This window comes from Homo sapiens, chromosome 1 (assembly GCF_000001405.40).
Source record: "Homo sapiens chromosome 1, GRCh38.p14 Primary Assembly".
Taxonomy (NCBI): domain Eukaryota; kingdom Metazoa; phylum Chordata; class Mammalia; order Primates; family Hominidae; genus Homo; species Homo sapiens.
The window spans coordinates 248,361,325-248,374,830 of record NC_000001.11 but is presented as its reverse complement, the minus strand read 5'-3'; the positions used below and the strand labels follow the sequence as shown (position 1 = coordinate 248,374,830).

The window sequence follows — 13,506 nt, the reverse complement described above, 5'->3', positions numbered from 1 at the left end:
GTTAGTTATATTTTGCTACTTATCTTGTGACACATCATAACATACACATTCAATTTTTAACTGTAGAGATATCAACTGGGCTTTAAATGTGTTTAATCGTAAAACCTAAAGAAAACGAAACAGCATGTAAAATAGTTTGTGTCAATGTTAGTTCCAAGAAAAGGAAACAATGTGACTTAAAGGTTTAATGGATTCTTGACTCTTTTCCATTTCAGATTGCCTCTCTCTGCGCCTTCCACCATCCACCTCAGATTTCCTTATTCATATACATGGCAACTTCTATTAGTTTTTTTTAAGGGATACTACTCATGTGAAAATGCCTACATCTTAGTTTTAGCACATACACACATATATATAAATGTAACAAATATTTATATGTACATAAATATATATTTATGTGTGTGTGTATATAGAGAAAGAGAGGATATGAGTTGTAAAGTAAAAAATGCAAACATAGACAATGACAATATTAGGTAGCCATAACTGGAAACACTTTATATGTACAAAAGAGAATCATGACAGGCATAATAAGCTCAGTTATGTTATTTTAAAGGAATCAAAATTTGGAAGGAGGAGGAACAAGACGGCAGAATAGAAGGCTCCCCCAATTGTTCCCACTGCAAGGACACCAATTTAATAACTGCCTACACACAAAAAGCACCTTTATACAAACAAAAATCAGGTGAGCACTCACTGTACCTGGCCTTAACTTTATATTGCTGAAAGAAGCACTGAAGAGATAGAAAAACAATTGTGAATTGCAAATGCACCCTTGCCTCATTCCCCAGCAGCATCAGCATGGTGCAGAGAGCAATTCTGTGCTCTGGGGAGAGGGAGAGCACAGCAATCGTGAGTCATTGAACTCAGCGCTGCTCTGCTGGAGCAGAAAACAAAGCTGGACCAAACTCAGCTGATGCCCATCCATGGAGGGAGCATTTAGACTAGCCCGAGGGCAATTACCAATCCCAGCCGTCTGAACTTGAGTTCCTGCAAGCCTTTCCACCATGGACTAAAGTGCTCTGGGGCCTTAAAAGAAACATGAGAAAAAGAAACCAGGCCACAATGACCACAACTCCTAAATGAGTCCAAGTGCTGACCTGGCCCAGAGCCTGTGGACTATGGGGGGACACAACCTACTGAGACACCAGCCAGAGCAAGTAAGGGGGTGCTGGAACCCCTCCCCTAGCCCCAGGCTGCACAGTTTGTGGCTCCTAAAAAACCCCTTCCCTCCACTTGAGAAGATAAGAAAGAGTGAGGACTTTTTCTTGCATCTTGGAATCAGCTCAGCCACAGCAGGAGAGGGCACCAATCAGAGTCATCAGAAATCGCTACAACTAATCAGTACCACTGTGCCAAAGCTTTGAGAATTTCATCATTGATCTAATCATTGCTCCACCCCCTAGCTCCAGGCCCCAGATTGTGGACATTTCTAGACACTCCTTGGGCCAAAAGGGAACCTGTTATTATGAAGGGAAGAACCCAATCCTGGAAGCATTCATCACCTGCTAACTGAAGGGCCCTTGAGCCCTGAATAACCAGCAGTGATACCCAGGTACCACGTTGAGGACCTTAGGTGAGCCTCTGAGATTACTGGCTCACAGATGAGACTCAGCACATTCCCACATGTGGTGGCTATGGGGTGAAACTCCTTCTGCTTTAAAAAAAAAAAGTGGAGGAAAGAGTAAACGGGACTTCGTCTTGGACTTTAGGTATTAGCAAGGCCTTAGGAGGGTAGAGCACCAAGTGGGCTCTTGGTTTCCTCAATTCTCGGACTTGGCTCTTGGGCAGCATTTCTGGTCCTTCCCTGGGCCAGAGGGGAGCCCACTGTCCTGAAGGATGAGTCCCAAGCCAAGGAGCCTTCCCCACAAGCTGACTGAAGAGCGCTTGGGCCTTGAGGGAACATCAGCAGTAGACTGGCAACACTTCCCATGGGCATGTGCTGGCCGTGGCCATAGGGTGAGGCTCCTCTGCTTTTGAAAGGGAAGGGGAGAGTGGGAAAGACAGTATCTTGTGGTTTGAGTGCCAGCTCAGCTGCAATACAACAGAATATCGGGTAGATTTCTAAGGTTTTTTACTTTTGTCCCTGGCTCCCAGATGTCACCTCTGGACCTTCCTGGGGCCTACGGGACCTTGATACCCCGAAGAGAAAGATACAGGCCTGGCTGGCTTTGTCACCTGCTGATTTTAGAGCTGCAGTGCCCTGAGCAAACATGAGTGGTAGTCAGGAAGTGGTTACAGCAGGCCGTGGCTGAGATTCAGTGTTGTGCTAGCTGCAGGCCTGAACCAGGGCACTTTTAGTGGTGGTTGCCACGGTGGTGCTTGTATAACTCCACTCTTATCTCCAAGTGGCTCAGAACACAGACAAAGATTTCATTTGTTTGGGAGAAAGTAAGGGAAGAGAACAAGAATCTTTGTCTGGTAATCTGTAGAATTCATCCAGATCTTGTTCAAGAATATCAAGGCGGTACCTCAATGAGTCTCAAGAACTACAGAATTACTGGGCTTAGTGTGCCCCCTAAGGTAGACACAGCTTAGATCACAACACACATGTACTTTTGAATATCTTGAATGCCTTCCCAAGTAGGATGTGTACAAAAAGCCCAGATAGTGAAGACTACAATAAATACGTAACTCTTCAATGCCCAGACACTAAACATCTACTATCATCAACACCATTCAAAAAAACATGACCTTACCAAATAAACTAAATAGCCAACAGGGAACAATCCTGGAGAAACAGAGATATGTGACCTTTCAGACAGGGAATTCAAAGTAGCTGTTTTGAGGAAACTCAGGGAAATCCAAGCTAACACAGAGAGGGCATTCAGAAGTCTATCAGATAAATTTAACAAAGAGATTGAAAACATTAAAAAGAATCAAGCAGAAATTCTAGAGCTGGAGAATACAATTGGCATGCAATACACTAGAAAGATCACTCATCATGACCAAGTGGGATTTATCCCTGAGATGCAAGGATGGTTCAACATAGGCAAATTTATCAATGTGATGAATCATATTAACAGATGAAGGATAAAAGCCATATGATCATTTAAATTGATGTTAAAAAAAAGCACTTGATAAAATGCAACATCCCTTCATGATAAAAACCATTAAAAAACTGAAGATAGAAGGAGCATAACTCAACATAATAAAAGCTATATATGACAGACACACAGCTAGTATACTGAATAGGGAAAAACTAAAACCCTTTCCTCTAAGGTCTAGATTATGACAAAGATGTCCACTTTCTCTACTATTATTCAATATAGCACTGGAAGTCTTAGCTGGAGCAATTAGACAAGAGAATGAAATAAAGGGCATCCAAATTGGAATGGAAAAAGTAAAATTATTCTTGTTTGTGGATGATATCACCTTATATTTGGAAAAACCTAAAGACGTTACCAAAACCTCTTGGAACTGATGAACAAATTCAGTAAAGTTGCAGGATACAAAATTAACATTTAAAAGTCAGAAGCATTTCTATCTGCCAACAGTGAACAATATGAAAAAATGTAATCTCATTTATCATAGCCATGAATAACATTAAATACCCAGGTATTAACTTAACCTCAGAAGTGAAAGATCTCTACAATAAAAACTATAAAACACTGATCAAACAAATTGAAGAGGAAACAAAAAAATGGAAAGATATTCCATGTTCATGAATGGGAAAAATAAATATTCTTAAAATGTCCATACTATCTAAAGCAGTATACAGATTCAATGCAGTCCCTATCAATATACCAATGACATTTTTTACAGAAATGGAAAAAACAATCCTAAAATTTATAGCAACCCATAAAAGACCCTGAATAGACAAAACTATCTTTAGCAAAAACCACAACTAGAGGAATCACATTAATTGACTTCAAATTATACTACAGAGCTATATAAACAAAATAGCAGGATACTGGCACAAAAACAGACACACAGACCAATGGAACAGCATAAAGACCCAAAAAGGAAATCCACACACCTACAGTTAACTCATTTGCAATCAAAGATGCCAAGTACATACATTGGGGAAAAGACAGTCTCTTCTATAAATGTGCTGGGAAAACTGGATATTCACATGCAGAAGAATGAAACTACACCCCTATCTCTTGCCATATACAAAAATCAAATCAAAATGGATTAAAGAGTTAAATCTAATACCTCAAATTATGAAAGTACTACAAGAAAACATTGGGAAAAGTCTCCAGGACATTGGTCTGGGCAAAGATTTCTTAAGTAATACCCTACAAGCACAGACAACAGAGCAAAAATGGACAAATGGGATCCCATCAAGTTAAAAAGCTTCTGCACAGCAAAGGAAACTTATCAATCAATGAAATGAATAGACAATCCACAGAATGGGAGAAAATATTTGCAAACTACCCATCTGACAAGGGATTAATAACCAGAGTATATAAGGAGCTCAAACAACTGTCTAGAAATCTAGTAATGTAATTATAAAATGGGCAAAAGATCTGAATGCACATTTCTCCAAAGAAGACATACGAATTGCAAACACGCATAGAAAAGGGTGCTCAACATCATTGATTATAAAAGAAATGCAAATCAAAACTATAATGAGATATAATCTCACCCCAGTTAAAATGGCTTACATCCAAAAGGCAACAACAAATGCTGGCAAGGATGTGGAGAAAAGAAAACCATTGTACACTCTTGGTGAGAATGTAAATTAGTATAACCACTATGAAGAATGGTTTGGAGGTTCCTCAAGAAACTAAAAACAGAGCCATCATATGATCCATCGATCCCCCGGGGATATACCCAAAATAAAGGAAAAGAGATCAAAGAGATATCTGCACTCGTATGTTTGTTGTGGCACTTTTCACAATAGTCGAGATTTTGAAGCAACCTAAGTATCCATCAACAGATAAATGGATAAAGAAAATGTGGTACTTATACACAATGGAGTACTATTCAGCTATAAAAAATAATGAGATCTTTTAATTTGCAACAACATGGATGGAACTGGAGGTCACTATGTTAAGTGAAGTAAGCCAGGCACAGAAAGACACACATTGCATGTTCTCACTTATTTGTGAGATCTAAAAGGAGAATTAATTTATTTCGGGAAAGGAAGAACGGTTTCTTGTTCTGTTTAATAAACCTTGACATTGAGATGCACTCAAGAGCCTGGGGTAGAAGTGGAGAAATGACCCACATTACCTCTGCCCTTCTAAAGCCTAGAGCAGGCAGATCAGGTCACTCCAGGTGAAAAGAACACTCAGGAGTGGATGGAGCAGGCAATGTGCCCTTTAAGAGGAGCAGGGCAGAAGTCTTCAAGGAATGATAAAATCATTGCCCAAAAGTTATGAATTTCCTGTACAATATAAAATGTTCTCAGCCACATAACAAAACTCAAGAGAATTCTACAAAGTTTGAAATATGCAGTCCATATCCCTAAGCCATATTGAATTAAACCAAGAAAACAACTTAACAAAAATATATGCATTAATGACCACAGTTATGATCAATAATTACAGCAATAGGCCAGATGCCGTGGCTCATGCCTGTAATCCTAACACTTTGGGAGGCCGAGATGGGTGGATCACTTCAGACCTGGAGTTCAAGACAAGCCTGGCCAACATAGGAAAACTCCATCTCTACTAAAAATACAAGAAATTAGCTGGGTGTGGTGGCCCACGCCTGTAATCCCAGCTAGTCTGAAAACTGATGGATGAGAATCCCTTGAAGCCAGGATGTGGAGGTTGTCTCCAGCCTAGGGGACAGAGCAAGACCCTGTTAAAAAAAAATTACAGCAATGTCCAGATGCACAGTTTCCTTGTACAGTCTCTCTAGTTCAAGAAAATTGTATTAGCGTTCATGTATACTGATTTGAAACTTGTATTTAAATTCATTTCACTTATGTTTTACAAATGATTTTTTTTATTTTTATTTTGAGACAGAGTCTCACTCTGTTGCCCAGGCTGAAATGTGGTGGTATGATTCATGGCTCACTACACCCTCAACCTTCTGGGCTCAACTGATCCTCCCATATCAGCCTCACAAGTAGCTTGGACTATAGATACCTGCTACCATGCCAGGATAATTGTTTTATTTTTTGTAGAGATGGGGTCTCAGTATGTTGCCCAGGCTAGTCTTGAACTCCTGGACTTAAGCAATACTTCCACCTCCGCCTCCCAGAGTGTTGGGATTACAGGTGTGATCCACCATGCCTGGCCCCAAATGATTTTGATTTCCCTTTTCCCCTATGTAAGTTTACTTCATTGTCCTGATTCTTCTATGTAATTTTTATTCCACTAGCCGTTCCCTAAATTTTTCTTTTCAATATTAAATGATGTTTTCAAAATATAAATTTCACTGTTAAGTATTTTGAACAAATCGTATTTATGACTTCATGGTAGACATTTACTTAATACAATTTTTCCTATTTCCCTCCCACCTCCATAAGGCAGGGAGTGATCTTTCACTTGGTGAGGACCCTGCAAGACCAATTCTCATTTGTTTTAAAAACACATTTGTCTCTTGGTATTCATTGTGGGGTTTGGTTCCAGGACACCTTGTAGGTACCAAAACCTGAGGATGCTTAAGTGCCTTATATAAAATGCTGCGGTATGTGCATGTAAGCTATGCACATCCTCTCACATACTTTAAATCATCTTTAGATTACTTATTATACCTCATGCAAGGTCTATATATCACTTCATTGGAATTGATTCAACATAGTGCTCAGAACATGGCAAGTTTTGCTTTTTGGAACTTCAGAACATTTTTTTCTGAATATTTTTTATCTGCAGTTGATTGAATCCACACATGCAGAACTCGGATAAAGAGGGCTGACTGTATTTACTAAAAGCTTTTGTAATTCATCTCTGCTTACTCTACCACTGAAGTAATTCATTCTCAACATATCTTTTGTGAAACTCGTTAATCAGTATCTGTGGAATGGGAATAACCATAGCTATTAGAATGTGTACCTTCTACACCCGGTAGCTCTGTCACCATCATGGAGCTGTTTGTTTACTGCAGTTACATGTCTCCTGTCACACTGGAATGCTCATTGTTCTTTTTCCTTCCTTTACCGAAATATAATTGCAAAATTAAATAAATATGTTTTGAAACAAGCCTAAATTGAACAAATTATTCTGAAAAACAAAATAAAAGATAAGTTTTATAAAAATTGAGTAAAATGTGGATGGTAACAACATTTTTTAAAATTATCAAACAGGCCAGGCATGGTGGCTCATGCCTGTCATCCCAACACTTTGGAAGGCCAAAGTGGGCGGATCACCTGAGGTCAGGAGTTTGAGACCAGCCTGGCCAAAATGGTGAAACCCAATCTCTACTAAAAATACAAAAAATTAGCCAGGCATTGTGGCAGGCACCTGTAATCCCAGCTAGTGAGGGGGTGAGGCAGGAGAATCGCTTGAACCCGGGAGGTGGAGGTTGCAGTGAGCCGAGATTGTACCATTGCATTCCAGCCTGGGCAACAAGAGTGAAACTCTCAAAAAAAAATTTTTTTTAAAATTATCATACAAATCTATTATAATAGGAACTCTGAATGATTTTTAAACATTTTTGAATTTACAGGTCACATTTTAAAACTGTAAATCATTTGACTATTTATTTTCATGCATAAGAGCTAATGAAAATTTTCTGTGAAAGGAAACCGACTCTAAATAAAATGTATGATTATTTTTCACACACACACACACACACACACACACACACACACACACACACTGCCCTGTGGAAATATTTTGAAGCACATTTAAAATGTTATTTCATAAAAATAAAATTTAGAAATAAGGAGGACTTAGAACTAATAAAATAAATTATACACTTCCCCTATCAAAAATGAGCTAAAATTATTCTCAAATGAACACACATGCTTTTCAAAGTTTTTTTAAATCAACAATGCAAATATGTTGGAAACAGACAACTAAAAATTTTTTTTAAGTCAAACAAAGACAATTTGGTAAATCTGAAAGCAAGAGGCTGAAATACAGCTTTAGACAGGGTATTTTCTCCCAGCCAAAACTGAAACTTAAAATCATGTTTTAAAATAAGAAACACTGAAAGAGTCAAAGCATCAACCAAGAACTGACCAGGCCCATTATGTTACATGTTTTTAGAGAAGTTGTCTTCTTGGAATAAGTTGAAAAATTATTGTGAATTATTTGGAAATACTATTTCTCAAGATTTTGCCTAGTTCCATGGGATAACCCTATGTGAAAATAAATTTCTCTCATAGTCTTCCAAACAAACAGCGCCACTTAAAAATAATTTATTCAAGTGAACTTCATGCAATGTAATTAACCATTTTAAAGTGAACAATTCAGTGGTATCTTATACATTCACAATATTGGGCAACAACAACCTCTAGTTCCAAAACATTTCCACGATCCCAAGCTGTAAAACCCCTTACTCATTAAGCAGTAATAAGTGTTGGTGAGAATATGGAGAAATTAAGACTCATGCATTGCTGGTGGAAATGCAAAATGTTTCAGCCATAGTTGAAAACAGTTTGACAGCTTTTCAAAACACAAAGTATAGAATTATTATATTACCCTGCTATTCCACTCCTAGTTATATATGTAAAAAGTACCACTTTTAAATTAATACTCTGATATTCAACGCAATAGATATACATTTATAGAAATTATACATTAACAACAGTTAGCAATTGTAACAGTAAGTTAAAATATGTACATGAATTATTTTCAGAGTAAATGCAAGTTAACATTTTGCAGTCACCAGATAGAAAGAACTACTTATATAAAATTGATTTTTAAAAAATCTGAGCAGCAACTGACTCGTCAGCAAATTTGTTGGAAGCTGAAAGACAGAAACTTTTCAACTATTGACAAGGAGTGTAACTCAAGAAGTTGATATACAGCAAGGTGTCAAGAGAAATATAATTACAGGTGTGCAAGAAAGAATAAATCCATCAAATAAAGAAGAAAAGAAACTATGGAGAGCACAAACCTTTGTCATCTGTGTATACCATATAGATGGTCTGTATATGTGTATGCTATTTCCAAAGAGCAAATGTCTTCAAGTTACAAGCACAAAAGAACTTTGAGGTTTCATTCAAATGCCTGTTCAAGCTATGAGGTTTTTTCAACCTTCCTAGACTTTCAAATGACCTCCCAGCACATTCAGTCCAGAATCAGTCGTTACTAACATGCCTAGATCCTACTCACAGCTAGAGCTCTCAGTCAAGGTAAAGCCTCGGGGCCTCACCTGTTCTGCCTGTATCAGGTCAAGGAGTCGGCCCCGAGAGTGGGGAGACAGGACCCAGCATCCTCTGCCTCCCCCAGCTCATGCATTCTTCAGTTTAGCCCACTGTACCCTCAAAGTTGGAGGTGGGAGGGAGGGAAGTTGTCTCCATGTCCTCACCAACACTTGTTATCTTTTGTCTTTTTGATAATAGCCATTCTAACAAGAGTGAAGTGATATCTCATTGTGGTTTTGTTTTGTGTTTCCCTGATGACTAGTGATAATAAGCATTATTTTTCATATACCTGTTGGCCATCTGTCTGTCTTCTTTCCAGAAATGTCTATTCAGGTCTTATGCCCATTTTTAAATTGTGTTATTTATTTTCTTACTATTGAGGTTTCTGAGTTCCTGATATATTTTTTCTATTAATCCCTTATCAGATAATATAGTTTACAAATACTTTATCTAATTCTGTGGGTTGTCCCTTCACTCTATTGATTGTTTCCTTTACTGTGCAGAACCTTTTTAGTTTTGCATAATCTGATTTGTTTATTTGTGCTTTTGTTCCATGGGAGTTTGAGTTTATATCCAGAAAAACATTGCCCAAACCAATGTCACAGAGCTTTTCCCTATATTTTCTTCTAGTAGCTTTACAGTTTCGGGTCTTATATCCAAGTTTAATTCATTTTGAATTGATTTTTGTATATGGTGTGAGAAAAGGGTTCAATTTTGTTCTTTTGCATGTGGATATCTAATTTTTCCAGTATCATTTGTTGAAGGAACAGTCCTTTCCTCAGGTGTGTTTTTGGCACATTTGTCAAAAATCAATTGACTATAAATGTGTGGGTTTATTTCTCGGCTCTAAATCCTGTTCCACTGGTCAATGTGCCTTTTGTAATGCGTGTACCATGCTGTTTTGAGTGTCATAGCTTTGTAATATATTTAGAAAAAAAGTAGTGTGATGCTCCCCTTTTGTTCTTACTGTTCATATAAATCATTTTTTTCTCCAGTTCTGTGAAAAATGACATTGAAATGTGACAAGAATGTCATTAAATGTATAGACCCCTTTGGGTAATATGAAAAATTTAACATATTAATTCTTCCAATCCATGAATATGGGATAGTTCTCATTTATTGGTGTCTTCTTTAATTTCCTACATCAATGTTTTATGTTTTTCAGTGTAGATATTTAACCCTTTTGGTTAAATTTATCCCAAAGTTTTTGTTTGTTTGATTTGACACTATTATAAATAAAATTGTTTTTAAATTTCTTTTTCAGGTAGTTTGATGTTAGTGCATAGAAAAATTATTGATGTATGTTGATTTTGATTTCTGCAACTTTATGTGAAGGCTTTCAATTGTTCTAACAGAGCTTTTGTGGAGATTTTAAGTTTTACATGTTTAGGATCATATTGTCAAGAGGAAAGCAGAATCTGTAAATCTGAAGCCACTTGATTTTTCACAAGTTGGACACAGGCAATTGGAAAATGATACACCTGCAACTAGGTCTGTAATTATAATCCAATTGGTTTGACAAAGTCTCACATCCCTGCATACCCCAAACATTTCCTCTCCCTAAGTCCCTCCTGGTGGTAAGGTACACATCGTTCCACTGAGTTCGTGCATTTCACCATCCTCACTCACCTGGTCTGCCTGCCACCAGGTTTGCACTTCTCCAATCTATTGTCACCAAAGTAATATTTCTGAAATGCAAGACTGATCATTTTCTACTGTTTGTAAACATCTGGGTCACAGAAAGCAAGGAATTATTCCACAAAATAAAACAGGAAAGAAGGCACGATTAGAATATTTGCCACTCCTGCTTGGTCAATTGTCTGACCTTTGCTCTTGCTGTGCCTTTTCCCAGGCATAATCACATCCCTGACAAAGTCCCTCCCCCTTCCCCAGCCATGTGTAGTTATCTGAGGGGAACAGCTAGGCACCTTTAACACTGAGCTCCTGGGGCTGCACTCAGCATCTTCTGCTTGATTGAATGTGCACAGCACAGGAAGAAGCGAGGTGCCAGAATGAGCTATACCCTTTCCACATGTGCATCAAAGCATTTCATACACTTTATAGCACCTATTTGCACACAGAATTACTAGTTCAAATTTCTTGGGGAAAGCAGTATGTAGTATTCACCTTTGAATTTTCTTTAGTGAATATTTTAGATTTAATATAGCATAACAAATATTTACTGGATAAATGAACAATTGGATATTTGATACTCTACCTCTTCTTATTTGTCTAATAAATTACATACTTCAAAACTCAGCTCAGATGTCACTTTGTGCTGGAAATCTTCTCTAAAGCTTCTTTTCACCCCAGGCTAATATGTTTTCCACAGTCTCTTAACGGAATTCGGGATTCAAAACCCAGCACTTGATGAAGACTGTTAACCTCAATAACAGACCTTAATCTTTCAGGAACCAACCATGTGGGCCAAGACAGCCTCCAATAAGGGTGGACAAATGGCTGGATTGTCTCAGCAGTGAATAACTACATTGCAATCAGCAAGTTTTCTAAGATATTATATCATGTGTACTGCTCAAAAAAGGTGGGAGGGAGGGGACATATTTTAATTATTTATTTAAAATTAATTTCAATTTTACAGAAAATTAGCATAAATAAAAGTAGTACAAAGAACATCTATATGAACCCTTTTTCTTCCTCATTTCTCCCTCTCTCTCAATTTTATGCCTTATAACCTTTATCCTCTAAGTAGTATCATTATGTATTCCCAGAATATGAAAATATCCTATAGAATTAGAAAGTAGTTATGAACTTCAGTAACTGTAACATCAATATAATATGACTGAATAATGCATTTTGAAGTGAGACGGAGTGTAAATTGAAAAGTTTCTAGTACAGGAAAGCGATTTCTAAAAGAGGTGTGAAAATGAGATCAAACACCATGGCAGTCTTGGAGTCTGGGAAATAACACTGGTATAACATTCTCATATGTGAAGTGCAGAGAGAAGGAAAAGTAAATTACTCTCAAAATGGTCTACTCCATAGCTTTTTGAAAGGCAGGTTCCACTGTTAACATTTTCTTCAGAGCCCCCATGACATCCTTATTCCTAAGACTATAGATTAAAGGGTTCACCACTGGAGTGAGGATGGTATAGAAGACAGATACCATCATGTCCTTCTCAGGGGTGTGGTAGGAGCTGGGGAGCATGTAGGTGTAGATGGCAGCCCCATAGAAGAGGATGACCACAGTCAGGTGGGAGGAGCAGGTGGCAAAGGCCTTTTTCCGGCCCTCTGCTGAGTTCATCCCGTGGATGGTGAGGAGGATGAGTAAATAGGAGCTTGAAATGATCACCACAGGGATGAGGAGCATGAGGACACAGCACAAGTACATGAAAATCTCATAGAGTGAGGTGTCTGAGCAGGAGAGATTCAATACAGCAGGAACTTCACAGAAGAAATGATGAATCTCCCGGGATCCACGGAAGGGGAAGGTCATGGTGATGGGAGTGAATGTGAAGCCATCCACTGAGCCCAGGAACCAGCAGCCTGATGACAGGAAGAGACACACCCTATGGTTCATGAGGACAGGGTAACGGAGAGGATGGCAGATGGCCACGTAGCGGTCATAGGCCATGGTGGCTAGAAGGAAAAATTCTGAACCTGCTAGTGTCACGTAGAAGAACATCTGCATCCCACACTCAGGGGCTGAGATCTTATTCACACCCATGACCTGGTCCAGGAGCATCTTGGGCACAGTGACAGAAATGTACGCCATGTCCATGAGAGACAATTGACTGATGAAAAAGTACATGGGGGTGTGGAGGTGGGCGTCACAGTGTATCAGAAGGATCAGGACAGCATTTCCAGACAACGCCATCAGGAAAACCACAAAAATGACCACACAAAGTAGTGCTGGATGTTTGGATTGTCTGAAGAGTCCCAACAGGATGAAATCCGACCATCCAGTGTGGTTGGCCATCCAGGTGATATTGGCCATTGGATGTTTGGATTGTCTGAAGAGTCCCATCAGGATGAAATCCGACCATCCAGTGTGGCTGGCCATCCAGGTGATGTTGTCCATGAGGTTTCACCTAGGCCACAAAGGAAAGCTTGGGGTTAAAGTAATTTGAGCCTCTGAAACAAATTGTGTGTGTGTGTGTGTGTTCTAACCAAAGAAAGGCCCATGGGCCTGTAGATTTGGGTGTTATAAATTATCTGCAATTCAAAAAATTTACCAGGAACTAAGAATTCACAACTGTGGATCAAAAGGGTGATTTGTAGTGAAGTTGCCACAGTTCTGAGTCATGAGATTTCCCGATGAGAGTGTCTGTTATAAA

At 38.6% G+C, this 13,506-nt stretch overlaps 1 protein-coding gene across 1 annotated transcript; it reads right to left on the bottom strand.

The window, feature by feature from the left end:
- Positions 1–12,203: 12,203 nt before the first annotated feature.
- On the bottom strand, positions 12,204–13,166 carry OR2T4 (olfactory receptor family 2 subfamily T member 4). Its single transcript, NM_001004696.2, has one exon. The coding sequence runs from the start codon at positions 13,164–13,166 to the stop codon at positions 12,204–12,206; it is 963 nt and encodes a 320-aa protein (NP_001004696.2).
- Positions 13,167–13,506: the final 340 nt, after the last annotated feature.